The sequence below is a fragment of the Homo sapiens genome, chromosome 9, assembly GCF_000001405.40.
Source record: "Homo sapiens chromosome 9, GRCh38.p14 Primary Assembly".
Lineage (NCBI taxonomy): Eukaryota > Metazoa > Chordata > Mammalia > Primates > Hominidae > Homo > Homo sapiens.
Genome location: NC_000009.12, coordinates 125,179,966 through 125,207,027, shown reverse-complemented (window position 1 = coordinate 125,207,027; position 27,062 = coordinate 125,179,966). Strand labels below are relative to the sequence as shown.

General features: G+C 47.2%; 2 protein-coding genes, 1 long non-coding RNA gene and 1 pseudogene across 13 annotated transcripts in view, besides 4 other annotated features; 3 read left to right on the top strand and 1 right to left on the bottom strand.

Moving 5' to 3' along the window:
• The window catches only part of RABEPK (Rab9 effector protein with kelch motifs), a 33,620-nt gene extending 27,134 nt beyond the window's left edge, over positions 1–6,486 (bottom strand). For 2 of the 8 annotated variants that reach the window (NM_001174152.2, NM_001174153.2), the window contains exons 1-3: positions 6,451–6,486; positions 6,122–6,248; positions 3,962–4,020 (exon numbers count right to left, since the gene is read on the bottom strand). In NM_001174152.2, coding sequence (NP_001167623.1) covers positions 3,962–4,014 — 53 coding nt within the window. In that variant the 5' untranslated portion in view covers positions 4,015–4,020; positions 6,122–6,248; positions 6,451–6,486. Of the gene's footprint in view, positions 1–3,961; positions 4,021–5,649; positions 5,903–6,121 lie in introns of those variants that run through there. The other 6 variants (XM_005251642.5, XM_005251641.5, XM_017014177.2 and 3 more) reach the window with 5 other exon arrangements.
• Positions 6,559–6,608: a silencer, noted in NCBI's record as "silent region_20275". NCBI's record gives its function as "represses an Ori minimal core promoter by ATAC-STARR-seq in GM12878 lymphoblastoid cells {active_cell/tissue: GM12878}" and the evidence as "EXISTENCE:reporter gene assay evidence [ECO:0000049][PMID:35858748]".
• Positions 6,632–7,495, top strand: LOC105376271 (uncharacterized). The gene is made up of 2 exons (NR_135145.1): positions 6,632–6,802; positions 7,373–7,495. It is a non-coding gene; the product is annotated as an uncharacterized LOC105376271 (long non-coding RNA).
• Positions 7,496–11,134: 3,639 nt separating this feature from the next.
• On the top strand, positions 11,135–12,431 carry RPSAP76 (ribosomal protein SA pseudogene 76; annotated as a pseudogene).
• Positions 16,330–17,116: an enhancer, noted in NCBI's record as "H3K27ac hESC enhancer chr9:127952191-127952977 (GRCh37/hg19 assembly coordinates)". NCBI's record gives its function as "activates a minimal SCP1, AML or CMV promoter by ChIP-STARR-seq in naive H9 embryonic stem cells {active_cell/tissue: H9 hESC(naive)}" and the evidence as "EXISTENCE:reporter gene assay evidence [ECO:0000049][PMID:30033119]".
• Positions 16,948–17,027: an enhancer, noted in NCBI's record as "active region_28999". NCBI's record gives its function as "activates an Ori minimal core promoter by ATAC-STARR-seq in GM12878 lymphoblastoid cells {active_cell/tissue: GM12878}" and the evidence as "EXISTENCE:reporter gene assay evidence [ECO:0000049][PMID:35858748]".
• Positions 17,117–17,903: an enhancer, noted in NCBI's record as "H3K27ac hESC enhancer chr9:127951404-127952190 (GRCh37/hg19 assembly coordinates)". NCBI's record gives its function as "activates a minimal SCP1, AML or CMV promoter by ChIP-STARR-seq in primed H9 embryonic stem cells {active_cell/tissue: H9 hESC(primed)}" and the evidence as "EXISTENCE:reporter gene assay evidence [ECO:0000049][PMID:30033119]".
• The window catches only part of PPP6C (protein phosphatase 6 catalytic subunit), a 43,231-nt gene continuing 33,393 nt past the window's right edge, over positions 17,225–27,062 (top strand). For 2 of the 4 annotated variants that reach the window (XM_047423566.1, NM_001123355.2), the window contains exons 1-2: positions 17,225–17,466; positions 18,081–18,109. In XM_047423566.1, the coding sequence (XP_047279522.1) occupies positions 17,310–17,466; positions 18,081–18,109 (186 nt within the window). In that variant the 5' untranslated portion in view covers positions 17,225–17,309. The remainder of the gene's footprint in view (positions 17,467–18,080; positions 18,110–27,062) is intronic. The other 2 variants (NM_001123369.2, NM_002721.5) reach the window with 1 other exon arrangement.

Genomic DNA, 27,062 nt, shown 5'->3' with positions numbered 1-27,062 from the left:
AACCTCCGCCTCCCGGGTTCAAGCGATTCTCCTGCCTCAGCCTCCCTAGCAGCTGGGATTACAGGCATGTGCCACCACACCTGGCTAATTTTATATTTTTAGTAGAGATGGGATTTCTCCATGTTGGTCAGGCTGGTCTCGAACTCCCGACCTCAGGTGATCCGCCCGCCTCGGCTTCCCAAATTGCTGGGATTACAGGCGTGAGCCACCGTGCCTGGCTGGACAGCAACAGTTCTTACTGCAAAAGATGATTGTGAAGACTGAGACAAGACGTCAAAACAGGGCAGGGAAGGACTCAATAAATGGTGGCGAGAGCTTTATGTGCCACCACATGGTAATCAACAGCCCTGGGGCTCTTGCCACTAGCCAGTGATTCCTCTCCATCAAAAAAATTATCCAGAATTTACTGATTTCAGAGCTTTTCCAGATTACCCCCAAAGCTCAATCTGATGGAAGCCAAAGCTAGCACTCTGAAAAATCACATACAGAATTCGGTCATTCCACTATCTCTCTCTCTCTTTTTTTTTTTTGAGACGGAGTCTCGCTCTGTTGCCCAGGCTGGAGTGCAGTGGTGCAATCTTGGCTCACCATAACCTCCACTTCCAGGCTTCAAGTGATTCTCCTGCCTCAGCCTCCCGAGTAGCTGGGACTACAGGCGCGCACCACCATGCCTGGCTAATTTTTGTATTTTTAGTAGAGATGGGGTTTCACTATGTTGGCCAGCCTTGAACTCCCAGCCTCAAGCAATCCTTCTGCCCTGGTCTCCCTAAGTGCTAGGGACGCGCCCACCACGCCCAGCCCATTCCACTCTCCACAGTGATTCTGAATGCTGACTGAGAAAACACACTTGAAGCTTCCTGATTGGAAAAGAAAATTCTGTAGCTGTTTTTCAGGCCCTGTCTTATTTGACCTCTCTGGTGTTTGAGACTCCTGACCTCTCCTCGCTTCTTGTGCCTTTCTCCCAGCCAGGCTTTCCCACATCCCTTCCTTTGGTTCTGCACTCACTTTTCTGGTTGTCCTTTCTGCTTCCTTCTCCGACTCCTTTCCTACCAGCCACCTCCTGACTCTCCGTCATTCTCAATTCTCTTTTCCTCACTTTACATTTGCTTACCTGATTAATGTTATCTGTAGTGATAACTTCAATTATCACTCATCTATATATTCATCAGTGGTTGCCAAATTTGTTTCCCATTCAGAGCTCTATTCTGATGTCACTTAATCTACATAAAACCCCTTTGAGGGCCGGGCGCAGTGGCTCACGCCTGTAATCCCAGCACATTGGGAGGCCGAGGCAGGCAGATCATGAGGTCAAGAGATTGAGACCATCCTGGGCAACATGATGAAACCCCGTCTCTACTAAAAATACAAAAATTACCTGGGTGTGGTGGCATGCACCTATAGTCCCAGCTACTTGGGAGGCTGAGGCAGGATCGCTTGAACCCGGGAGGCGGAAGTTGCAGTGAGCCGAGATTGTGCCACTGCACTCCAACCTGCCAACAGAGTGAGACTCCGTTTCAAAGACAAACAAAAACTAAAAAAACGCTTTGAGGATAACAGCTGTTACCATCATCTGAGTTCTACAACGGAGGAACTGAAGCTAAGAAAGGTTAAGTAATTTACCAAAAGCACACAGCCATCCAGAGATGGTGGATATAACAAAAAAAAGTCCCTGCCTTGATAGCCCTTACAGACTAGTTGGGAAAAGAAACATTCAACAGTTTCACAACTATCTGTTTCACTTCAATTGTGGTAGAAAGGAGTACAGAATATATAGTATGAGGACATGCATGTCTTAGGAGGGTCTCACCCTGTAAGGAGCCAGGGAGATAGGGTGGTCAGAGAAGGCTTCCTGAAGAAGCACCATTTGGAGAGAGATCTGAAGTATGAGTAGAAATTAGCTGGGTAGGCCAGGTGTGGTGGCTCACACCTGTAATCTCAGCACTTTGGGAGGCTAGAGTGGGAGGATCGCCTGAGCCCAGGAGTTTGAGACCAGCCTGGGCAACATAGCGAGACTGGGTCTCTAAAAAAAAAAATTAGCTGGGCATGGTAGTACACACCAACAGTCCCAGTTACTTGGGAGATGGAGATGGGAAGGTTACTTGAGGCCAGGAGGTCGAGGCTATAATGAGCCACAATTGTACCACCGCATTCCAGCCTGGGTGGCCAGCCACAGAGGAAGAACTTGTCTCAAAAATAAAATAAAATAAGCTGGGAAAAGAGAGGGACAAAAAGTGGAGGGAAAGAGCACTCCAGGCAGAAAGAGCAGTCCAGGCAAAGAGACCAGCATGAACAGCTCCTGAGTGGAACAGTGCAAAGGGCACAATAAAGAAGAGAAAGAGAACAAAGGAACAAGTCATGGGATTTGAGGTTGGAAATACAGGCAGAAACATTTTGCAGGGACCATTGGGCCAGTTTAAGAAGTCTAATTTGTTTGTTTGTTTGTTTGAGACGGAGTCTCCCTCTGTTGCGCCCAGGCTGGAGTGCAGTGGCACCATCTCGGCTTGCTGCAACCTCCACCTCCCAGGTTCAAGAATTGTCCTGCCTCAGCCTCCCGAGTGGCCAGGATTACAGGCATGCACCACCACTCCCGGTTAATTTTTGTATTTTTAGTAGAGACGGGGTTTTGCCATGTTGGCCAGACTGGTCTCAAACTCCTGGCTTCAAGTGATCCACCCACCTCAGCCTCCCAAAGTGCTAGGATTATAGGCATGAGCTATTGCGCCCGGTCAGGAGTCTGATTTTTCTTTTTTTTTGAGATGGAGTCTCGCTCTGTCGCCCAGGCTGGAGTGCCTCAGCCTCCAGAGTAGCTGGGACTACAGATGCCCGCCACCACGCCCGGCTAATTTTTTGTATTTTTAGTAGAGACAGGGTTTCACCATGTTAGCCAGAGTGGTCTCGATCTCCTGACCTCGTGATCCGCCCACCTCGGCCTCCCAAAGTGCTGGGATTACAGGCATGAGCCACCGTGCCCGGCCTTTTTTTTTTTTTTTTTTTTTGAAACGGATTCTTGCTCTGTGGCCCATGCTGGAGTACAGTGGCATGATCTCAGCTCACTGCAACCTCTGCCTCCCAGATTCAAGCAATTCTCCTGTCTTAGCCTCCCTAGTAGCTGGGACTACAGTTGCACAACACCATGCCAGCTAATTTTTGTATTTTTAGTAGAGATGGGGTTTCACCATATTGGTCAGGCTGGTCTCAAACTCCTGACCTCAGGAGATCCACCCGCCTTGGCCTCCCAAAGTGCTGGGATTACAGGCATGAGCCACCGTGCCCAGCCCAGGAGTCTGATTTTTATCCCAACACCAACAGGGAGGCACAAAAGGGTTTTAAACTAGGAAATGCCATGATTGGCTGTATTCTGGGTACAGAGCAAGACAGATGCATGGAAGCCAGTCTGGAGTCTCTCCTTCAAGGTCCTGTTGAAGAACTGCCACCTCTCTACAACCTTCTGTGGGCCCTGACTCAGAGCAGATCACATTTTATCACCATCACCTGCTTAGTCTGTAGTCCCCAGTACACAGAGACTATTTACAATTCTACCTCCAGCACCCACAGAGCAGCTGCCCCCATCAGGCCAATGTTAGTTGTTGAATAAAGGGTTGTTTGAACAAACAGCCAAGAAACAGTGAAGCCAGTTTAATCCAAATCTAATTTCCTAAAAATCTTAAAAATGAGTCAGAGCTCGGGGGAAGACACAGCATTGGAGCTGAGGATGCCAGATGGTCAGTGCCTTACTCTTTCTGGTAAATGGATTTTAATAAAATTAACATCTGCTCTGTGATAATTACTGCCCCCCTATCTTTCCTCTGAAGACTTTCTCAGACAGTTTGAGTCTAATTACCAGAAACTGCAGACAGTTTCATCTCTACCCCTTTTTGTTGATGATCAAATATGTAAATAAACTACTTATAAATGAAACAAAAACTCATGCTTTTCTGTGTCTGGATCCTTCCTTACAGACCATGTTGCTTTCCTGGGCTTGTCTCCAGGTTCCAAGACTGGCAGTTGCTTCATGGTGTCCTATGCATAAGAAAGAAAGGCACTTTTTAGACACTTATGATTATCATCTTAATCAATTCAACCTCCTTTTTAAACCTTTCCTGTTGAATGTACTAATTTCTAGGCCTGATTGATTTGAATAAGAATCACCAACTTTTCATCTTTATTTTTATTATTTATTTATTTATTTATTTATTTGAGATGGAGTTTAGCTCTCGTTGCCCAGGCTGGAGTGCAATGGCAAGATCTCAGCTCATGGCAACCTCTGCCTCCCAGGTTCAAACGATTCTCCTCCCTCAGCCTCCCGAGTAGCTTGGATTACAGGCATGTGCCACTACGCCCAGCTAATTTTTCTATTTTTAGTAGAGATGGAGTTTCACCATGTTGGTCAGGCTGGTCTCGAACTCCTGACCTCAGCTGATCCACCCGCCTCAGCCTCCCAAAGTGCTGGGATTACAGGTGTGAGCCACCGTGCCTGGCCTATGTATTTATCTTTATTATTATTTTTAGATAGAGTCTCACTCTGTTGCACAGGTTGGAGTGCAGTGGTGCAATCTCCACTCACTGCAACCTTCCCCTCCCAGGTTTAAATGATTCTCCTTTCTCAGCCTCCTGAGTAGCTGAGATTACAGGTGCCCACCCACGCCCAGCTCATTTTTCTAGCTTTTCTAGTAGAGACGGGGTTTTACCACACTGGCCAGGCTGGTCACTAACTCCTGACCTCAGGTGATTTGCCCGCCTCAGCCTCCCAAAGTGCTGGGATTACAGGCATGAGCCACCGTGCCTGGCTTTATTTTTTATTTTTATTTTTTCTGAGATGGAGTCTCACTCTGTCACCCAGGCTGGAGTGCAGTGGCAGGATCTCAGCTCACTGCAACCTCTGCCTCCCGGGTTCAAGCTATTCTCCTGCCTCAGCCTCCAGAGTAAGCTGGGACTACAGGCAAGTGCCACCACACCTGGCTAATTTTTTTTGTATTTTTCGTAGGGATGGGGTTTCACTATGTTCGCCAGGCTGGTCTTGAACTTGGCTCGCCTCGGCCTCCCAAAGTGCTGGGATTACAGGCGTGAGCCACTGAGCCCGGCCATTTATTTATTTTTTAATTAAAAATAGAAACGGGGCTGGGAGCAGTGGCTCACGCCTGTAATCCCAGCACTTTGGGAGGCCGAGGCAGGCGGATCATGAGGTCAGATCGATACCATCCTGGCCAACATGGTGAAACCCTGTCTTTACTAAAAATACAAAAAAAATTAGCTGGGCGTTGTGGCCCACGCCTGTAGTCCCAGCTACTCAGGAGGCTGAGGCGTGAGAATTGCTTGAACCCAAGAGGCGGAGGTTGCAGTGAGCCGAAATTGCGCCACTTGCACTCCAGCCTGGCGACAGAGCAAGACTCCTCCTCAAAAAAAGAAAAAAAAATAGAAATGGAGGTTTCGCTTTGTTGTCCAGGCTGGTCTCGAACTCCTAGCCTCAGGCAATTCTTCCACCTCAGCCTCCTAAAAAGCTGGGATTACAGGTGTGAGCCACTGCTCTCCGCTCAAAGGACAAAATATTTAAAGAAGCTGAGAAATACTGAGCTCTGGGATAAATCTTGGCCTCAACATAGCATAGAAAGTAAGGCCTTCTGCTGTTGAGCTTTTTTCCCGTGAACTCACCTCCACAATCTCTTGCATTATTGGTTTTTTTGCTGTTCTTGTAATATGGCAGGCCTTTTCATAATTTTGCAGCCTGTTCTGCTTCCCCTATTTGGAATGTCGCTTCCCTTCTGGGAAATTTGCAAACTCCTAGTTAACCTTCAAAGCCCAGTTCAAAAGTCCCTTCCCTGGTGAAACCTTCCCTGATTTGCCCTTTTCTCTTCCACCCACATCCAAGTTACTTCCTTCTTCCACCCACTGGGCTCTGAAGGTATTAGCCATCACCATTGCAGGAATCATTTGGAATGTTTATCTATTTAAGGCTTCTAGACTAGATTCTAGATTAAATTCCACTAGACTAAGTTCCTAGAGGGCTGGGCCTGTCAGATCCATTCCGAGAACCTACCAATGGACCTGGCATGGAGTAGAAGTGGGGGAGTGGCTAGTGAATGAAGAAAGAAAATAGATTGAGAGATGAATGGATAAATCTCACCTGCGGCCTAGGCCACTGACAGCTGTCCCCAAAGTCCAGAGCTCAGTTAGGCTGGCTTCACGTGGGCGGGACCTCCCGCAGCAGCCGCCGCTACCAGCCCAGCAAATCTCATCCCCACGTGGCAGTTCTAGGGGATAGGAGACGGGGTCGGGAAAGAACAGGCTGATTCGGTCAAAGTGGCCGGGACGGAGCCAGGGAAGGCCCTTCCCCGTTCTTTGCACCCGGCTTGGGCCCACTCCCCTAAAAGATTCAGACTCCCTGCCCGAGACCGTGATAGACCCGGTATCCGGGGACCCTCGCCCCTACCCTCCAGCCCCGGACTGCAATACCTGCGGCGACTTAGGCCAGTCGCGAGCCGTGACTCCACCCCGGAGGGGCGGGGCTTAGGTCCGGGCCCTCCTCCCAGGACCCGGAAGAGCGTCCGGGCCAACCGCTCCCTCTTCCCTGCTCCGCCCCGAGGGCCCGGCGCTGACTTCCTGGGCTGGCGGTGGAGGGGTCCCCCAGACCGGGAGTGGACGCCAGGCTCTGCATTTCTCGGGAACCAAGTGGGGTGGGCCTTCCCTGGGTCCCTCCCTCCCGGACGGGATAAATAAGCCGGGGCTACTTGGAAACGATTTGCGCAATGCCGGGTTCGGGCGTCCGTTTGGGGAACTCAGATGCCTGCGGCAGCTGATCTACTCTGTAAGGGGCTAACAGGGCTGGGCGCCACCACACTCCAGCTTGGGCAACAGCGCAAAAACTCCCTCTCAAAAAAATAAATAAATAAAAGGGGGGGAGGGTATAACAGTTACATTTCCAGTTACAACGATTGTTTTTTTTTTTTTTTTTTGAGACGGAGTCTCGCTCTGTCGCCCAGGCGGGACTGCGGACTGCAGTGGCGCAATCTCGGCTCACTGCAAGCTCCGCTTCCCGGGTTCACGCCATTCTCCTGCCTCAGCCTCCCGAGTAGCTGGGACTACAGGCGCCCGCCACCGCGCCCGGCTAATTTTTTTTGTATTTTTAGTAGAGACGGGGTTTCACCTTGTTAGCCAGGATGGTCTCGATCTCCTGACCTCATGATCCACCCGCCTCGGCCTCCCAAAGTGCTGGGATTACAGGCGTGAGCCACCGCGCCCGGCCACAACGATTGTTAACAGTTTCTAAAGGGGAGAGTTGAGCATGCAATCCTCCTGCGCAGTCTTCGGGCCAGCTCAAGATTTGGTGCTTTAAACAGCTGATTCATTCCATAATTGCCATTTGTAATTATGGCAGGTGCTATGCTGAGCCAGACACCACCACGCTTTGCCTCCAGGAGCAAGTCTTAACTAGAGAGAGATCAAAGAAAAAGACAACTAGGGACGACTGCCAAGAGTGCAATAAATATAAAGTTCAGCCAGGAGAGTATCTGTTCTGAAGTTACTTTCCTCCAGGCCTCAGGGTTGTCTGTTTGTAACCATGGAGCTAATAAGATTTCTATCATAGGCTGGGCGCGGTGGCTCACGCCTATAAGTCCAGCACTTTGGGAGGCCGAGGCGGGCGGATCACGAGGTCAGGAGTTCGAGACCAGCCTGGCCTACATGGTGAACGCCCCCGCCCCCCCCCCCAACTAAAAACACAAAAATTAGCTAGGCGTGGTGGTGGGCGCCTGTAATCCCTGCTACTCAGGAGGCTGAGGCAGGAAAATTGCTTGAATCTGGGAGGCGGAGGTTGCAGTGAGCCGAGATAGTGCCACTGCACTCCAGCCTGGGTGACAGAGCCAGACTCCGTCTCAAGAAAAAAAAAAAAAAAAGAGAGATGTATGTAGTAGTTGTGGTGGGGAATACATGACATAATGTAAATAAAAGTGCTCAGCACCCAGCAGCTGGCACAGAGTTCTCTGTCAAGGGTAAAGCTATTCCTGACTATAAATGAACAATGTCTCTAGACATATTCAGAATCTACATTATCTTTGTTTTAGTTCATAACCATAGGTTCTCTGTGTCTTTCCTGAAAATAGAGAGGTGGCTTGCTCTCTTATGTCTGTTTCAAAGAACTCCAGTCTCTGAAACTGTCGCTGTGTCCTAGAAAATAGAGAAAACAGCTCAGGTTAGAAACAGGAGCTCCTGGAGTATAGAGCTATGGTAGCTTAGTGGGAAGAGATCAAACATACTTGGGTTAAAATCCAAGCTCCAGGCTGGGTGTGGTGGCTCATGCCTGTAATCCCAGCACTATGGGAGGCCAAGGAGGGCAGATCACGAGGTCAGGAGTTCAAGACCAGCCTGGCCAACATAGTGAAACCCCATCTCTACTAAAAATACAAAAATTAGCCAGGCACGGTGATGCGCACCTATAGTCCCAGCTACTCGGGAGGCTGAGGCAGGAGAATTGCTTGAATCGGGAGGCAGAGGTTGTGGTGAGCCAAGATCATGCCACTGCACTCCAGCTTGGGCAACAGAGCAAGACTCTGTCTAAAAAAAAATCAGCCAGGCGTTTGCCTGTAATCCCAGCTACTCAGGAGGCTGAGGCAGAAGAATCACTTGAACCCAGGAGGTGGAGGTTGCAGTGAGCCGAGATCGTGCCACTGCACTCCAGCCGGGGCAACAGAGCAAGACTCTGTCAAAAAAAAAAAATCCAGGGTCCAGCACTAACCATCTAACTCTGACATTTGGCAAGTTACCCACTCTGAACCCTAGTTCCTCATCTATAGAATGATGATAGTATTACCTGCTGTGCAGACAGAACTGTTCAGAGGATGTGCTAATACAGGTGAAAGGCCAGGTTGGTGAAAGGAATATTTTAGCTACTTGAAACCATAACCAAAATTTATTGACAAAATGGAATTCAAGGTCTGCGGCTCTTTCAAACATATGGAGTCTTTGTGAGTTCCCACTTTAGTGGAAAAATCCCCATTGACTGTCTGCCAAAGAGAAGTTTAGGGATATTCAGTCATTCTGCTCTCCTTCAGGAAAGAAAACCAAGTCCAGGTTAGCTCTGCCATATGTCCATGTGCATCTCCACGTACATTTCTGCTCACAGCTGCAGAATGCTCTGATGTCCCCGGTGTTTTCTGGCTAGCTCTGTTTCAAGGTGCCATGCTGGAGTGGCACATCAACAAGAAAAATTGGAAGAGGTTTGTGGGCAAAATAGCAGCCAGTTTTCACTGCGGGACCTATTTATTTATTTATTTACAGACGGAGTCTCGATTTGTCGCCCAGGATGGAATGCAGTGGCGCCCTCAGTTCACTGCAACCTCCGCCTCCTGGGTTCAAGCAATTGTCCTGCCTCAGCCTCCCAAGTAGCTGGGATTATAGGCGTGGCCACCACGTATGGTTAATTTTTGTACTTTTAGTAGAGACGGCATTTCACCATGTTGGCCAGGCTGGTCTTGAACTCCTAGCCTCAGATGATCCACCTGCCTTGGCCACCCAAAGTGCTGGCATTACAGGCATGAGCCACCGTGCCTGCTGAACCTATGCTTTTAGACTAGAAATCACATTTGAGAATGTGGAATGCCTGAGATCTATTTTCTTTTTTTTTTTTTGAGACAGTCTTGCTCTGTCGCCCAAGCTGGGGGAGTGCAGTGGCATGATCTCGGCTCACTGCAACATCCGCCTCCCGGGTTCAAGCAATTCTCTGCATCATCCTCCCAAGTAGCTGGGATTACAGGTACCCGCCACCACACCCAGCTAATTTTTTTTTTGCATTTTTAGTAGAGACGGGGTTTCACCATCTTGGCCAGGCTGGTCTTGAACTCCTGACCTCGTGATCCACCCACCTCGGTCTCCCAAAGTTCTGGGATTACAGGCGTGAGCCACTGCGCCAGGCTGCCTGAGATGTATTTTCTATTTCTATTTTTATTTATTTACTTATTTTGAGATGGAATCTTGTTCTGTCGCCCAGCCTGGAGTGCAGTGTCATGATCTCAGGTTACTGCAACCTCCGCCTCCCAGGTTCAAGCAATTCTCTTGCCTCAGCCTCCTGAGTACCTGGGACTACAGGTGCGCACCACCATGCCTGGCTAATTTTTGTATTTTTCGTAGAGACAGGGTTTCACCATGTTGGCCAGGTTGGTCTTGAATTCCTGACCTCAAATGATTCACCCACCTCTGCCTCCAAAAGTGCTGGGATTACAGGTGTGAGCCACTGTGCCTGGCAAGAGATGTATTTTTAAAAATGGAAATCAAGGCCCAGAGAAGTTAAAATAACTACCCCACATAAAATGGCAGAACCAGGAACCCAGGAACCCAGATCTCTTATTTCTTGCAAGGAAGACTAAGAATGCATTCCAGTCATCAAGCTCTGTTACCCCATCTCCATACCAAACCACTGGAAGTGTCTAACACCTCTCCTAAAAGCTTGCCCAACACTCTGACGCACGCTTTCTTCTTTTCTCTCTGCTGTGGATGTGAAGAATGATGTTCACTCAATGAGGTGGGTCTGCAGGAGGGAGCTTCCTCCTGTCAGATAGTGTGGTCATGTGAGGACTGCCACCTATTTTCACTGGAACAGCACACCACTGACCTCTTTACTGATGCATCAGCAAGGGAAGTAATGAATGCCGGTGAGACCTTCCTTTTAAGCACTTTACAGTTTATGAAGAACATTCACATCCATCTCCCTATTTGTCTTCCTTCCCACTTCTGAGAAGGTATCTTGAATAGGATTTATTCCCAATTACTGAGGTTCAGAGATTAAGAGTGAATTGTGGCTGGGCGCAGTGGCTCATGCCTGTAATCCCAACACTTTGGGAGGCCGAGGTGGGCCAATCAACTGAGGTCAGGAGTTTGAGACCAGACTGACCAACATGGTGAAACCCCGTCTCTACTAAAAATACAAAAATTACCCAGGTGTGGAGATGCATGCCTGTAATCCCAGCTACTTGGAAGGCTGAGGTGGGAGGACTGCTTGAGCCTAGGAGGCAGAGGTTGCAGTGAGCCGAGATTGTGCCACTGCACTCCAGCCTAGGTGACAGAAAAAAAAAAAAAGGCGACAGCCTGTCTCAAAAAAAAAAAAAAAAAAAAGAAAGAAAGAAAGAAAGAAAAACAGCCAGTTTTCTATGCTACCCACAGAGGGGTCCATATGGGGTTGTTATGGATTCCCATCATAACTTAAAGGGAAACTTTCACAATGTCCAGAGCCCTTGCTGTCCTGCAAATGAAGGAGGAGGATGTCCTTAAGTTCCTTGCAGTAGGAACCCACTTAGTGGCACCAATCTTGACTTCTAGATGGAACAGTACATCTATAAAAGGAAAAGTGATGGCATCTACATCATAAATCTGAAGAGGACCTGGGAGAAGCTTCTGCTGGCAGCTCATGCCATTGTTGCCATTGAAAACCCTGCTGATGCCAGTGTTATATCCCCTAGGAATACTGGCCAGAGGGTTGTGCTGAAGTTTGCTGCTGCCACCAGAGCCACTCCAGTTGCTGGCCACTTCACTCCTGGAACCTTCACTAACCAGATCCAGGCTCCTTCCGGGAGCCACAGCTTTTTGTGGTTACTGACCCCAGGGCTGACCACCAGCCTCAAACAGAGGCATCTTATGTTAACCTACCTACCATTGCTCTGTGTAATACAGATTCTCCTCTGCAGTATGTGGACATTGCCATCCCATGCAACAACAAGGGAGCTCACTCAGTGGGTTTGATGTGGTGGATGCTGGCTCAGGAAGTTCTGCACAAAGGTGGCACCATTTCCTGTGAACACCTGTGGGAGCTCATGCCTGATCTCTACTTCTTTTTTTTTTTTTATTTGAGACGCAGTCTCGCTCTGTCGCCCAGGCTGGAGTGCAGTGGCGCAATCTCGGCTCACTGCAACCTCTGCCTCCTGGGTCCACACCATTCTCCTGCCTCAGCCTCCCAGGTAGCTGGGACTACAGGCGCCTGCCACCATGCCCGGCTAATTTTTTTGTATTTTTAGTAGAGACGGGGTTTCACCGTGTTAGCCAGGATGGTCTCAATCTCCTGACCTCATGATCTGCCCGCCTTGGCCTCCCAAAGTGCTGGGATTACAGGCGTGAGATACTGCGCCCGGCCTGCCTAATCTCTACTTCTACAGAGATCCTGAAGAGATTGAAAAAGAAGAGCAAGCTGCTACTGAAAAGGCTGTGACAAAGGAGGAATTTCAGGGTGAATGGACTGCTCCAGCTCCTGAGTTCACTGTTACTCAGCCTGAGGTTGCAGACTGGTCTGAAGGGTGCAGGTATCCTCTGTGCCTATTCAGCAGTTCCCTACTGAAGACTGGAGCACTCAGCCTGCCACGGAAGACTGGTCTGCAGCTCCCACTGTTCAGACCACTGAATGGTTTTAAATTGTTCTTGCAGGGACTCTTAAGCAACTTGGAAATAAGGTTGATGGAAAATAGGCATCAGTTTCTTTTTTTTTTTTTTTGTTTGAGACAGTCTCGCTCTTTCGCCAGGCTGGAGGGCAGTGGCGCAATCTCGGCTCACTGAAACCTCTGACTCCCTGTTTCAAGCAATTCTCCTGCCTCAGCCTCCTGAGTAGCTGGGATTACAGGCAGGCTAATTTTTGTATTTTTAGTATAGACGGTGTTTCGTCACATTGGCCAGGTTGGTCTCGATCTCCTGACCTCGTCATCCGCCCGCCTTGGCCTCCCAAAGTGTTGGGATTACAGGTGTGTGTGTTTATGGCCACCGTGCCTGGCCATAAACATCAGTTTCTAAAAAAAAAAAAAAAGAAAAATATCTAAACAAGAACAGCATCTTCTTCCATTTGAATTTTTTTCTCCAAGAAATTCTGAGCAGATTATCCCTTTACCTTTTTTTCCTTTTTTTTTTTTGAGACAGGGTCTCACTCTGTTGCCTAGGCTGGAGTGCAGTGGCACAACTTTGGCTCACTGCAACCTCCGCCTCTGGGGCTCAAGCAATCCTCCCGCCTCAGCCTCTTGAGTAGCTGGGACTACAGGCACATGCCAGCATGCCCGGCTAATTTTTATATTTTTTGTAGAGATGGGGTTTTGCCATGTTTCCCAGGCTGGTCTCGAACTCCTGGGCCCAAGCAATCTGCCCACCTCAGCCTCCCAAAGTGCTGGGATTACAGGCATGAGTCATTGCACCTGTCCTGCCTTTTTTTCCTCCCCTCCCCTCCCTCTCTCTCTTTCTCTCTTTCTTTCTTTTTGATGGAGTCTCGCTTTGTCACCCAGTCTGGAGTGCAGTGGCGCAATGTCGGCTCAATGCAACCTCTGCCTCCCGGGTTCAAGCGATTCTCCTGCCTCAGCCTTCCCAGTAGGTGGGATTACAGGCATGCACCACCATGCCTGGCTAATTTTTGTATTTTTAGTAGAGACGGGGTTTCACCATGTTGACCAGGCCTGTCTTGAACTCCTGACCTCAAGTGATCTGCCCGCCTGGGCCTCCCAAAGTGCTGTGATTACAGGCGTGAGCCACCATGCCCAGCCTCCTACATTTTTTTTTCTGAAGTCTTACATGTTACACCTTCAGAAATGCCTTTCCTGCCCACCTAATACTCAGAGTTAACACTCATATTGCACTCACTCTGTGCTAGACAATGTTTTTTTGTCTTTGTTTTTTGTTTTGAGACAGAGTCTCACTGTCACCCTGATGTAGTACAGTGACACAATCACAGCTCACTGCAGCCTTGGCCTCCTGGGCTCAAGTGATCCTCCCACATCAGTCTTTAGAGTAGCTGGGTCTACAGGTATGTGCCAGCACCAAACCTGGCTAATTTTAATTTTTTTTTTTTTTTGGTAGAGATGAGGTCTCACTATGTTGCCCAGTCTGGTCTTGAACTCCTTGGCTCAAGTGATCCTCCTGCCTTGGCCTCTCAAAGTGTTGGAATCACAAGTATGAGCCACTGTGCCCGGCCCAGACATTGTTTTAAGCCATTTTCATATACCAACTCTGTTAAACCTTTGTACAAGCCTATGAGGTAAGTAGTATTCTTACAATCTCCAGAGGAGGTAAGCATTATTATTATCTCCATATTGGAGCTGAGAAAACTGGAGTACAGAAAGGATAAATAACTTCTCCAAACCAAAATCACACAATAAGTGGTAGAGCCTGTATTTGAACTCTGCCCACATGGTGCTAGAAGCTACATCCTGTACTTTACCTCCTCTGTGTTATCAACCTAAAGTAGGCCTCTTTTTTTTGAGACGGAGTCTCGCTCTGTTGTCCAGGCTGGAGTGCAGTGGTGCGATCTCGGCTCACTGCAACCTCTGCCTCCCAGGTTCAAGTGATTCTCCTGCTTCAGTCTCCTGAGTAGCTGGGATCACAGGCACGTGCCACCACACCAGGCTAAGTTTTTCTTTTTCTTTCTTTCTTTTTTTCTTTTTCTTTTTTTTAAGACGGAGCCTTGCATTGTCACCCGGGCTGGAGTGCAATGACGCTATCTCAGCTCACTGCAACCGCAACCTCCATCTCCCAGGTTCACGCAATTCTCCTGCCTCAGCCTCCCAAGTAGCTGAGATTACAGGCACACACCACCATACCCGGCTAATTTTTTGTATTTTTAGTAGAGACAGGGTTTCACTATATTGACCAGGCTGGTCTCAAACTCCTGACCTCATGATCCGTCCGCCTCGGCCTCCCAAAGTGCTGGGATTACAGGCGTGTGCCACCATGCTGGGCCCTTTTTTTTCCCCCAAAGGACACAAGTACAGGTAAGAAAATGTAGTTTTTTGTTTTTTTTTTTTTTTTAGACAGGGTCTCACTTTCTCTCCCAGGCTAGAGTGCAGTGGTGGGATCTCAGCTGGTCAGGAACTCCTGACCTCAAAAAGACCTGCCCGCCTCGGTCTCCCAAAATGCTGGGATTACAGGCGTGAGCCACTGTGCCCAGCCAAAGGTAGACCTCGTCTACTCCATTTTTCTTGCTTATAGTACCTCCTATTTTCCCTTTTGAGTACTAATCACAATTTGCAATTAAATATTTGCTCACTGCCAGGTATGGTGGCTTACACGTATAATCCCAGCACTTTGGGAGGCCAAAGCAGCGGAATAGCTTGAGGCCAGGAATTTAAAACCAGCCTCAGCAAGACCTCACCTCAACAATTTTTTTTTTTTTTCTGTTGGCCAGGCTGGAGTGCAGTGGCACGACCTCAGCTCCCTGTAACCCCCACCTCAAAGCAATTTTCATGCCTCAGACTCCGGAGTAGCTGGGATTACAGGCATGTGCTACAATGCCCAGCTAATTTTTGTATTTTTAGTAGAGATCAGGTTTCACCATGTTGGCCAGGATGGTCTTGAATTCCTAGCCTCAAGATATCTGCTCACCTTGGCTTCACTACTGGGATTACAAGTTTGAGCCACTGCACCCGGCCTCAACAAAAACAAAAATTTTAATTACCTCACCCTATGCATCTCTTCATTTGTATCCTTTGTAATATCCTTTATATTAATAATAAACCAGTAAATGTAAATAAATAAATAAATACTGTTTGTCTCTTCCCAGCAGATTGTAAGCCTGATTAGGGCAGGGATCATATCTGTTTTATTCACATCATAAGCACTGTGTAACCTCTGGTTTCTTTTCTCTTTGAGATGGAGTTTCACTCTGTGGCCCAGGCTGGAGTACAGTGGCGCCATCTCAGCTCACTGCAACCTCTGCCTCAAGCAATTCAAGTGATCCTCCTGCCTCAGCCTCCCCAGTATTTTGTATTTTTAGTAGAGATGGGGTTTCGGCATGTTGGCCAGGCTGGTCTTGAACTCCTGACGTCAGGTGATCTGCCTGCCTTGGCCTCCCAAAGTGCTGAGATTACAGGCATTAGCCACCGCGGCCTGGCCAATAGGCACTATGTAACTATTAGTTTAATGAATGAAGAAATGAATGCTTGTGGGCATCATTCATTCTGCAACAAACTTCTAAAAATTAATTTTACTTTGAAACAATTTCATACTTTCAGAGGAGTTACAAGAATAATACAAAGAAGTTCACCCAGATATCTCATTCAGGGTTAGCCAATTGTCCACAAAATATACTTTAGAGAGCAAGAGGATTAATTCCAGGGTCTCTTGAGCAACAAATATTTATTGAGCGCCTGCTACTATTGGATTACATAACAGTCTCTTAACTGGTCTCTTAGCTATAGGCATTGCACCCCCACCCCTAGTCCCATACAGCAGCTCCTTTTACTAATTTATTTTTGAGGAGGATCTCGCTCTGTCGCCCAAGCTGGAGTGCAGTGCCGCGATCTCAGCTCACTGCAACCTCCGCCTCCCAACTCAAGCGGTTCTCCTGCCTCAGCCTCCAGAGTAGCTGGGACCACAAGCACGCACTACCGCGCCAGGCTAATTTTGGTACTTTTTGTAGCTACAGATAGAATAGAGATCTTTGTCTATTTTGTTCACGAAGTACTGCAAGCGCCTTGAGCTGTACCTGGCACATCTTTGTTGCTCAGCAAAGAGTGGTTGGATAAACGAACGCTGAAGGTATGCTAGTACCAGGTACTGTTCTCGGTGCTGGAGTTACAGCAAAAAACTCCCTGCCCTCGTGGGATTCTCACTGGAAGCATGCTTAAGCTTAAGCCATTTTTCAATCTTGACCCCACCATTTTGTTCCCTGTGAGATTTGGGGTGAACTGCAGTTTCCTAGCCTCACTTTCCTATCAATCGTTACGAAGATTAAAAGGAAAAATATCATTTGTATCGCATTTAGCATCAGAAATGCTTTAATAATATTCGTTTCCCTTCCTTTCAGGCTGGAAGACTGGGGCCTGACATCTCTGCCACAGGCTTAGGCGAGGTTTTCACAGGGACTTGGAAAGGTGCAAACGGTTACTACGGCCAGGCTTACCCAATTGTTAAGTGAAGATATTCTGGAGAGTGCTTAAAAGGGTTGGAAAAACAAACCAGTGAGTGGCTAGGACCACCTACTCCGCTGTTTTGCCTCGGAAAAGCCTCGCCGGCTGCCGGGAGGTGAAAGTCTGGAGGAACGGGAGGAAAAGAGAGGGGTGGCTGTCCACAACAGAAAACTACACATCCCAGCACCCCCGCGGCAGACGACTACGGGTCCCAGCAGGTTTCGCGGGGTGGACCGAAGCGGGCTCTCTTGGGGCCTGCAGTCGGGGTTCAGCCAGAGGGGGCGCCGGGCGTACCGACGTAGCGGGGAGAAACGGGTCGCGCTTTAACGGCGCTGCGCAGGCGCCACTCACGGGCCGGACGTGACGCAGGGAAAGTTCCGGCTTCGGCCTCCGCCGCTGCCGCCGCCGCTGCTACAGCCGCCGCCGCCGCTGTTGCCGCGGCTTGTTATTCTTAAAATGGCGCCGCTAGACCTGGACAAGTATGTGGAAATAGCGCGGCTGTGCAAGTACCTGCCAGAGAACGACCTGAAGGTGAGCCCTATTTGCGGGCTCGCCCCTTCCGGCTGTGGGGCGCCCGCCGGCCGGCCCTTCCTTTCTCCAGGACCCCCGCCGGGTATCCAGTCCAGTCGCGGTGGAGGGCCTCCCCCATTGCCAGTCGACCCGGTCCTACCCGGCGTCACGCCGAGGGTCTCGCGAGCCGAGTCGTCGAATGCTGTCCCGGTTGCCTCAGTGGGGATCCCGAGGGATGTCGCGGCCTCTGTCCCAGGGTCGCCCCTTCTGGCCTTCGGGCTGCCCCAGGACCCGCAGCTGTAACAGCTTTATTTAGAAGGCTCGGCTCCCCACCCCATCCCTGGGTCTCCCGCAGTCGGAGCCGAGCCCCCGCGGCAGTGCCCTCGGGATGGGGTCGCCTCCACCGGAGGTGACAGGAGCGCGGAGTGGCCGGCGTCTGACAGGAGATGCCACCGGCTACCGGAACGCGGCCTCAGTGTGTTTAGGTCTCTGAGGAAGGGGAAGGCGGTGGGCCCGAGTGGTTTGGTACTGGCGGGAGCGAACGTCAGGTCGTCCCTCTTCATTGCCACTCCTCCAAATTGCTTTTTAGGATCGTCGGTTTTGCTAATTCAGAGGTGAATCCCGTTTCTGAGTATGTTGTTGAGCTTACTGAAGTGGATAAAGTAGTTGGTTCTCAATAAATACAAATACTTTCTCCTTAACCCCTTCTTAACTCAGTATTTCATTTTCTTCGTTTTCTAAAGGAGGTGAGTTCCTTGTTACTCCTGAGTCCAAGTAAGAGTAAATGTATGTATGGGTAAAGGAATGACTTTGGTATACTGCTTTTCTTTTTTAAAACTTTTTAATTATTATTATTATTATTATTATTATTGTTTTTAACTGAGATAGAGTCTCACTCTGTCACCCAGGCTGGAGTGCAGCGGTGCGATCTTGGCTCACTGCAACCTCCACTTCCCGGGTTCAAGCGATTCTCCTGCCTCAGCCTCCCGACTAGGTGGAATTACAGGCGCCCGTCACGACGCCCGGCTGTTTTGTATTTTTAGTAGAGACGGGGTTTCGCCATGTTGGCCAGGCTGGTCTTGAACTCCTGACCTCAAGTGATCCGCCCGCTTCGGCCTACCAAAGTGCTGGTATTACAGGCGTGAGCCACCGCGCCGGCCTAGGTATACTGCTTCTTTGAAAAGTGTTTCTATGCATTTGCTGAAATCAGAGCTTAGGTTTCTAGCAGTGCTTATCAGCTCGTGCTAGTATTTAACCGACTCAGTGTATTCTTTTTTTTTGAGACGGAGTCTCGCTCTGTCGCCCAGGCCGGAGTGCGGTGGCACCATCTCGGCTCACTGCAACCTCCGCCTCCCGGGTTCACGCCATTCTCCTGCCTCAGTCTCCCGAGTAGCTGGGACTACAGGTGCCCGCCACCACGCCTGGCTAATTTTTTGTATTTTTAGTAGAGACGGGGTTTCACCGTGTTAGCCAGGATGGTCTCGATCTCCTGAACTCGTGATCCGCCCGCCTCGGCCTCCCAAAGTGCTGGGATTACAGGCGTAAGCCACCGTGCCCAGCCCCGACTCAGTGTATTCTTAAGGAAATATATTACTGTGGGTTTTGTTTTATTTCTTCTTTGTACAGTAAGTTGATACTTAACATCAGTCAACAAGTATGCATAATATTTGAGGCCACACGTGCTGTTGTGAATGTGACTGAATTGTACTTACCTGTTAATTTTATGTGGCATATGATAGGGGAGTCATTCTTGTGCATTTTCCCGTTTTTAATAGAATAATTTCAAATAAGGACAGCCTTCGTTAGTAGTAATGTAGCATTTGTGCTCATCTGAGTCCTTCAGACATTCCTTTTGTGGCTTCTTTCTGCTATGTGGTTTTTTTAAGGGAATAAGAATACAACTAGCATTGGGACCCAATTCATGGAAAACTAACCAGACCTCTTAGTAGCATTATTAATCCCATAGGTGAGGTTGACTATTGCATGTCAGTGAATTGACATGGAATTTTTTCTTCTTATTTATCATGCATAAAGCTTTTTTGAACTTTGTGTTTATGATGAATAAAATGTTGCTTTTTATGAAAATGTGTCTAGGGCACAGTGGCGTAATCTCAGTACTTGGGGAGGCTGAGGTGGGCAGATCATTTGAGATCAGGAGTTTGAGACCAGACTGACCGACTTGGTGAAACCCCCTCTCTACTAAAAACACAGAAATTAGCCGAGCATGGTGGTAGGTGCCTGTAATCCCAGTTTACTTACTTGGGAGGCTGAGGCAGGGAGAATGGCTTGAACCCGGGAGAATTGCTTGCAGTGAGCCGGGATCACACCACTGTACTCCAGCCTGGGAGACAGAGCAAGACTCTGTCTCAAAAAAAAAGAAAAGGAAATTGGGCACTGAAATGATTTGAAAGATAATCTGGCCAGGTGCAGTGGCTCACGCCTGTAATCCCAGCACTTTGGGTGGCTGAGGCAGGTGGATCACTTGAGGTCAGGAGCTCGAGACCAGCCTGGCCAACATGGTGAAACCCCGTCTGTACTAAAAATACAAAAATAAACTGGAGGTGGTGGCAGGTGCTTGGAATCCCAGCTACTTGGGAGGCTGAGGCAGGAGAATCGCTTGAACCAGGGAGGCGGAGGTTGCAGTGAGCCAAGATTGCGCCACTGCAGTCCAGCCTGGGTGACAGAGGGAGACTCCGTCTCACCAAAAAAAAAAAAAAAAAAAAAAAGAAAGAAAAATCTGTTGGACTTCTTTGTACCTCTTAGTTTGATAAACATTAGATTTCCTTCTTACCTTAAGGAAGTACAATTTTTAGACCATTTTATTTCTTGTTGAAACATAGCTGCATTGTACTTGACTTGTATTTGTTTCTTTTTTTTTCTTAAAAAAATTTTTAATCTTTTTTTTGGTGGGGGAGCGGGGACATGGTCTCACTCTCACCCATGCTGTAGTGTGGTGGCACAATCATGGCTCATTGCAGCCTCGACCTCCTGGGCTCAGGCAGTCCTCCCACCTTAGCCTCCTGAGAAGCTGGGACCACAGGCACATGCCCCCATGACCAGCTAATTTTTATTTATTTTTTTGGTAGAGACAGGGTCTTGCTATGTTACCCAGGCCAGTCTTGAACTCCTGGGCTCAAGCGATCCTCCCACCTTGGCTTCCCAAAATGCTGGGATAACAGGCATGAGCCACTATACTTGGCCTGTATCCATTTCTTAATAAACTTAAAAATATATGTTTTGGGCAACCAAGACAAAAGTATTCTGAATTTTTCTTTATAGGTAGAGACTTTTTTTTCTGTCTTGGAAATGCTTTTATCAGATTAATTTGTTGTGTTGCTCATCTCTGGTGTATTTAAAGAAATTTAATTTTTTTCTGTTTCTTGGCATGAAGTGCAACCTAAAATTAGGCCAAGAAAGTATGCCAGGAGTACTTTTTCTGAGGCTGTAAAGGCAAAATAAAACATTCTATTAAGAAAAGTAATCATTGAGGCCACTTAATGAGCAAGATGGAAAAGATTTGTTCTGTAGAAAAGAAGACAGAAATTTACTTGTGTTTTAAATTGATTAGAAGATAAAATACTAAATGCATACGATGTTCCAGATTTAATCACAATTTCTGTTTCGCTAAGTTGGAAATGGTCACATCACTAGTACTGGATCAAATCTACATAACTGTTTTTGTTTGTTTGTTCGCTCTTGTTGCTCAGGGTGGAGTGCAATGGCGTGAGCTTGGCTCACTGCAACCTCTGCCTCCCGGGTTCAAGCGATTCTCCTGCCTCAGCCTTCCTGAGTAGCTGTGATTACAGGCATGTGCCACCACGCCCAGTTAATTTTGTATTTTTAGTAGAGACCAGGTTTCCCCATGTTGTTCAGGCTGGTCTCGAACTCCTCACCTCAGATGATGCACCCACCTCGGCCTCCCAAAGTGCTGGGATTATAGGTGTGAGCCTGGCCTGTTAGTTTGTTTTTTTGAGACGGAGTCTTGCTCTGTTGCCCAGGCTAGAGTGCAGGTGCACGTTCTCAGCTCACTGCAACCTCCGCCTCCCGGATTCAAGCGATTCTCCTGCCTCAGCCTCCTGAGTAGCTGGGATTACAGGCACCCACCACCACTCCTGGCTAATTTTTGTATTTTTAGTAGAGATGGGGTTTCACCATGTTGGCCAGGCTGGTCTCAAACTCCTGACCTCAGGTGATCCACCCTTCTCAGCCTCCCAAAGTGCTGGGATTACAGGCGTGAGCCACCATGCCTGGCATACATAACAGTTTTGAAGGAATAAGAATGACATATGTGGGCCGGGAGGCTGAGGCAGGAGAATTGCTTGAGCCTGGGAGATGGAGGTTGCAGTGAGCCGAGATCATGCCACTGCACTCCAGCCTGGCCAACAGAGCGAGACCCTGTCTCAAAAAAAAAAAAAAATGACATATGTGAAAGTAAATGGACCACAGTGTAACCTTTCTTATAAAGAGCTCATGTGATTTTATCCACAAGAAAGATTTCAGAGAGATTAATAAAAGATACAGATTCCATACCTGGCTAAATGGAAGAATTAATGATAAAGGCAGGTTTACTGAATACTTATATTTAAGTATTAATATTTTTGGGGAGCAGGGGTTCTATAACTTGGAGGTTGTCTAATCTCTTGGACAGTTCTTAAGGGTGACATGTTTACCTGAGGTTTTTTTTTTTTTTTTTTTTTTGAGACTGAATCTAACTCTATTGCCCAGGCTGGAGTACAGTGGTACCATCTCAGCTCACTGCAGTCTCCACCTCCTGGGTTCAAGCAGTTCTGCCTCAGCTGGGATTACAGGTGCGCACTACCACACCCAGCTAATTTTTGTATATATATATTTTTTGGTAGAGATGGGGTTTCACCATGTTGGCCAGGCTGGTCTCGAACTTCTGGCCTCAGGTGATCCGCCCACCTCGGCCTCCCAAAGTGTTGGGATTACAGATGTGAGCCACTGTGTTTGGCCATTCCTTATTTGTGTTTTCCACAATTTTAGAACACTGCCCTGTATGTGATAATCAGTAAAGGTTTATTGACTCAAACTGTTTACTGCTTTATGACAAATACTTGTTTCTTCTTCTTCTTTTTTTTTTTTTCTTTGAGGTAGGGTCTCAGTCTGCTGCCCAGGGTGGAGTGCAGTGGTGCAGTTGTAGCTTGCTGCAACCTCAAACTCCTGGGCTCAATTGATCCTTCTGCCTCAGCCTCAAAAGTAGCTGGGAGTACAGGTGTGCAATAGTGTGCCCAGCTGATTAATTATTATTTTTATTTTTGAGATGGAGTCTCACTCTGTCACCAGGCTGGAGTGTAATGGCGCGATCTCGGCTCACTGCAACCTCTGCCTCCTGGGTTCAAACAATTCTCCTGCCTCAGCCTCCCAAGTAGCTGGGACTACAGATGCATGCCACCATGCCTGGCTAGTTTTTTGGTATTTTTGGTAAAGATGGGGTTTCACTGTGTTTGCCAGGATGGTCTCAATCTCCTGACCTCGTGATCCACCCGCCTTGGCCTCCCAAAGTGCAGGGATTATAGGCGTTAGCCACCGCGCCTGGCAAAAAAAAAATTTTTTTAAGGGATAGCGTCTTGCTATGCTGTCCAGGCTGGTCCCAAATGCTTCAGGTGATTCTCCTGCCTTGGCCTCCCAAAATGCTGAGATTATAGGTGTGAGCCACTGTGCCCAGCCAACAAACACTTATTTACATGGTTCCTTGTGTTGAGTACTGTTCCCTGTGGGTGCCAGGGGCAGAATTGGATACTTGTGTCTGCCTTTGAGGGGCTTTCAATATAGTAAGGGAGGTAAGGAGGTAAACAAAGACTGTAATAGAGGCTGACCAGGGTGTTGGCAAACAGAAGAAGCAGTATGTAACTTTAGAGTCAGAGATGATTTCATAAAGGAGCAGTTACGAGGGGCAGAGTTCAGGTAGACAAAATGAGAAGGAAAGAACATGCAAACAGAATAAACACCATGTGCAATAGTATAATGTAATTTGCAAGAACATGGCTGGTTCGGGGAACTTGAAGTGGTTTGGTATGGCTGGAGGTGGTACTGGAAAGAAAGATGCCAAATCATAGAAGAGTAGGCTGTTAAACTTAGATTGTTATTTTTTAGGTGGTGCATGAACACTATGAAATGTTTTTATATTTTAGGGAAAAATCATACTGTGATTCGTGATACTGTTTAAAATGTAGCTAACTAAAAATAAAAGTAGATTCAAAGAAAATTATTACAGGGATACACTGTTGTATGTGGTAGGAATATGACAAAATAATGAAAATGGTATTTGGTGTTTGGGAAACACTGCCATAAATGGAGGAATACGCTTGAGGAGTTTTTAAGAAGGAGAATGACAGTAGGCTTTTGAAATGTTTATTCTGGCAGCATTGTGGACCATGGATTGGAATGCAGGAAAAATGTCATAGAAGCAGTAGGCCCGGTGATATGAGAGTCTGAGATAAGGCAATGATAAGTGATTGTTGTGTTGGAAAGGAAATGAAGAAGGTATAGTGGCACCTGTTAACAGATTTGGTCTAGGTTATGATGAAGAGAGTTTAGCATAATTTTTTAGTTTCTGGCAAGGATTACTTAGTACTATAACTAGATTAAGGAATACGGGAAGTTTGGTTTGGGCCATATTGAGTTTGAGATGCTGCCAAGCTAAGACATTGAGATAGAGGTGTCCAGAATTACTCTTGGATACTTATGTTACTTAGATAACAACTACTTGTTGATTGCCAAATGTGCTCTAAACACTGTTCTAATAGTATTAAACGCAGGAGAAAGATCTAGACCAGTCGTTCTCAACTGGGGGCAATTTTGCCCCCCAAAGAATTTTTGGCAGTGTCTGGAGACATTTTTGGTTGTCACAGCTGGGTCAGGGGAGGGGTGGGAAGTTACTATGGGTATCTAGTAGGCGTAGATGTCGGAGATTTTGCTAAACATCCACAAGACAGCAAGCAGTCCCCTGCAATGAATAATTAGTAGTGCCATGGTTGAGAAACTCTGATCTGGCCTGAGGATACAGATACTACCTTCTGGATCATAAGCGTGTGAATATCATGGTCATTCCAGATTTCTAACTTCTCATTCCCAGTGATCTGTATTATAGTAGAGACTTTATATAAAGACTGTGTGAAATATAATGTTAGCTAGATATTTATTTAGTTAGTTACTTAGCTAGCTAGTTGAGATGAGGTTTTGCTATGTTGCCCAAGCTAGTCTTGAGCTCTGGGCCTCCAGCCATCTTCTTGCCTTGGCCTCCCAAAATGCTCATTTTACAGGTGTGAGCCACCACACCTGGCAGTGAGATCTTTTTTTTTAAAGCTAAGAGTGTTTTATAAATACCAGTATGTAAAAGTAGATAAAGGAAGTAGTATGTTTTAGATAACAAGATCAACTAAACAAGTAATTTTAAAAGTTTAGAACCCAGTGTTTGTGAGGGCAAGAGGGAACTGGGAGACAGAACAGAGAATAGAATGGAACTGTGAACAAATGTCTTGAGGAAAAGGTAGAGAAGAGACATAGAGGTCTGCTAAGAATGATGGCTATGAACCCCTTCCTGTTCAAGGATTAGAAAGTAGTTGGGCACCAAACATATGAAAAAGAGCACTGGTCATTAAAGAAATGCAAATCAAAACCGCAATGAGATACCATCTCACGCCAGTTAGAATGGCAATCATTAAAAAGTTAGGAAACAACAGGTGCTGGAGACGATTTGGAGAAATAGGAACACTTTTACACTGTTGGTGGGAGTGCAAATTAGTTCAACTGTTGTGGAAGACAGTGTAGCGATTCCTCAAGGATCTAGAACTAGAAATGCCATTTGGCCCAGCAATCCCATTACTGGGTATATACCCAAAGGATTATAAATCATTCTACTATAAAGATGCATGCACTTGCATGTTTACTGCAGCACTATTCACAATAGCAAAGACTTGGAACTAGCTCAAATGCCCATCGATGATAGACTGGTTAAAGAAAATGTGGCACATATACACCATGGAATACTTTGCAGGGACATGGATGAAGCTGGAAACCATCATTCTCAGCAAACTAACACAGGAACAGAAAACGAAACACCGCATGTTCTCACTCGTAAGCGGGAGTTGAACAATGAGAACATATGGGCAGAGGGGAGGGGAACATCACATGCTGGGGCCTGTCAGGGGGTCCGGGGTAAAGGGAGGGATATCATTAGGAGAAATACCGATTGTAGATGATGGGTTGATGGGTGCAGGAAACCACCATGGCACGTGGATACCTAAGTAACAAACCTGCACGTTCTGCACATGTGTCCCAGAACTTAAGTATAATAAAAAATAAATAAATAGAAAACAGAACACAAAAAAAGAAAGAAAAAATATTTGGGCACGATGAGGAGAAAGGGGTATAGTTTACCCTAAATTTGGGATAAAGCTGTAAAGGGTTTGGGAGGAGAGGAGCATGTGTCTTTACTATGATGACAAGGCAGGGCTCTTTGAGGCCGCTGTGAGTGTAGTTGATTGAGTCACGTAGCGTTTATAGTGAGATTGCATAGACTTCTTATTTTTGTGTGCGCGTGATAGCGATTTGTAAGCTACTGCCAAACTAGAGATGAGAGGCAATAGCTTTGGCTTAGAGACATAGCTCTCTAAATCCTCAGTTGGGGTCAGCAGAGGTGGCAGTCGTAGGACGCAGCTGTAATTTTACTCTAGTTAGTGTGCCTGGGCCCTGGTTGAAGGCTGCTGCTAGGTAGTTTACACGTGTTCTCCAGACACTCAATCTTTCAGATTGACAGAGTTTCACAGCGATGTTCTTCAGTTTATAGTCCACTGTTATTTTCAGGCTAGCACATAGTGTATGGGGTGATAACCAGGGATGACTTCAAGTTTAGGAGGCCTTATGGACTAGGAGAACCAGTTACATGTCAGCGAAAATTCTGGCACATTGAAATATGGGAACCGGCCAGACACAGTGGCTCACGCCTGTAACCCCAGCACTTTGGGAGGCTAAGGTGGGTGTATCACCTGAGGTCAGGAGTTTGAGACCAGCCTGGCCAACATGGCGAAACCCTGTCTCTACTAAAAATACAAAAATTAACCAGGCATGGTGGCGTGTGCCGTAATCCCAGCTACTGGGGGGCTGAGGCAGGAGAATCGCTTGAACCTGGGAGGCGGAGGGTGTAGTGAGCCAAGATCACGCCATTGCACTGCAGCCTGGGTGACAAGAGCGAAACTCCATCTCAAAAAAAGAAAAAATTACAGGCCAAACTTAGAATCATTCATCAGTTCCTGGCATATTTGTTCTTTAATGCAAATAGGTTGCAAACTTTGGATGCTAATTATTATAAAAATAAATATGTATCATAGGTCTAATGGATTATTAATAGAAGTAGGATGCTGTGCAACACTGATATTTTGAAATTGACTGGAAAGACAGCCGTCTATCCACAAGGACTAACTGGATTGAGTGGTTGTGGTCAAGGTTGTGATTATTATTATTTATGAGGTAATACATAGGGCTGTGGGGTGTTGGTATGGGGATGAGGGGAGTGACTGCTAATGTGTATATGGTTTCTTTTTGGGGTGATGAAAGTGTCCTAAAATTGATTATGGTGATGGTTGCCACCACTGTGAATATAATGAAAACCATTGACTCTTACCCTTCAAAGGGATGCATTTTATGTAGGTGAATTATGTTGCAATAGTTGTTTTAAAA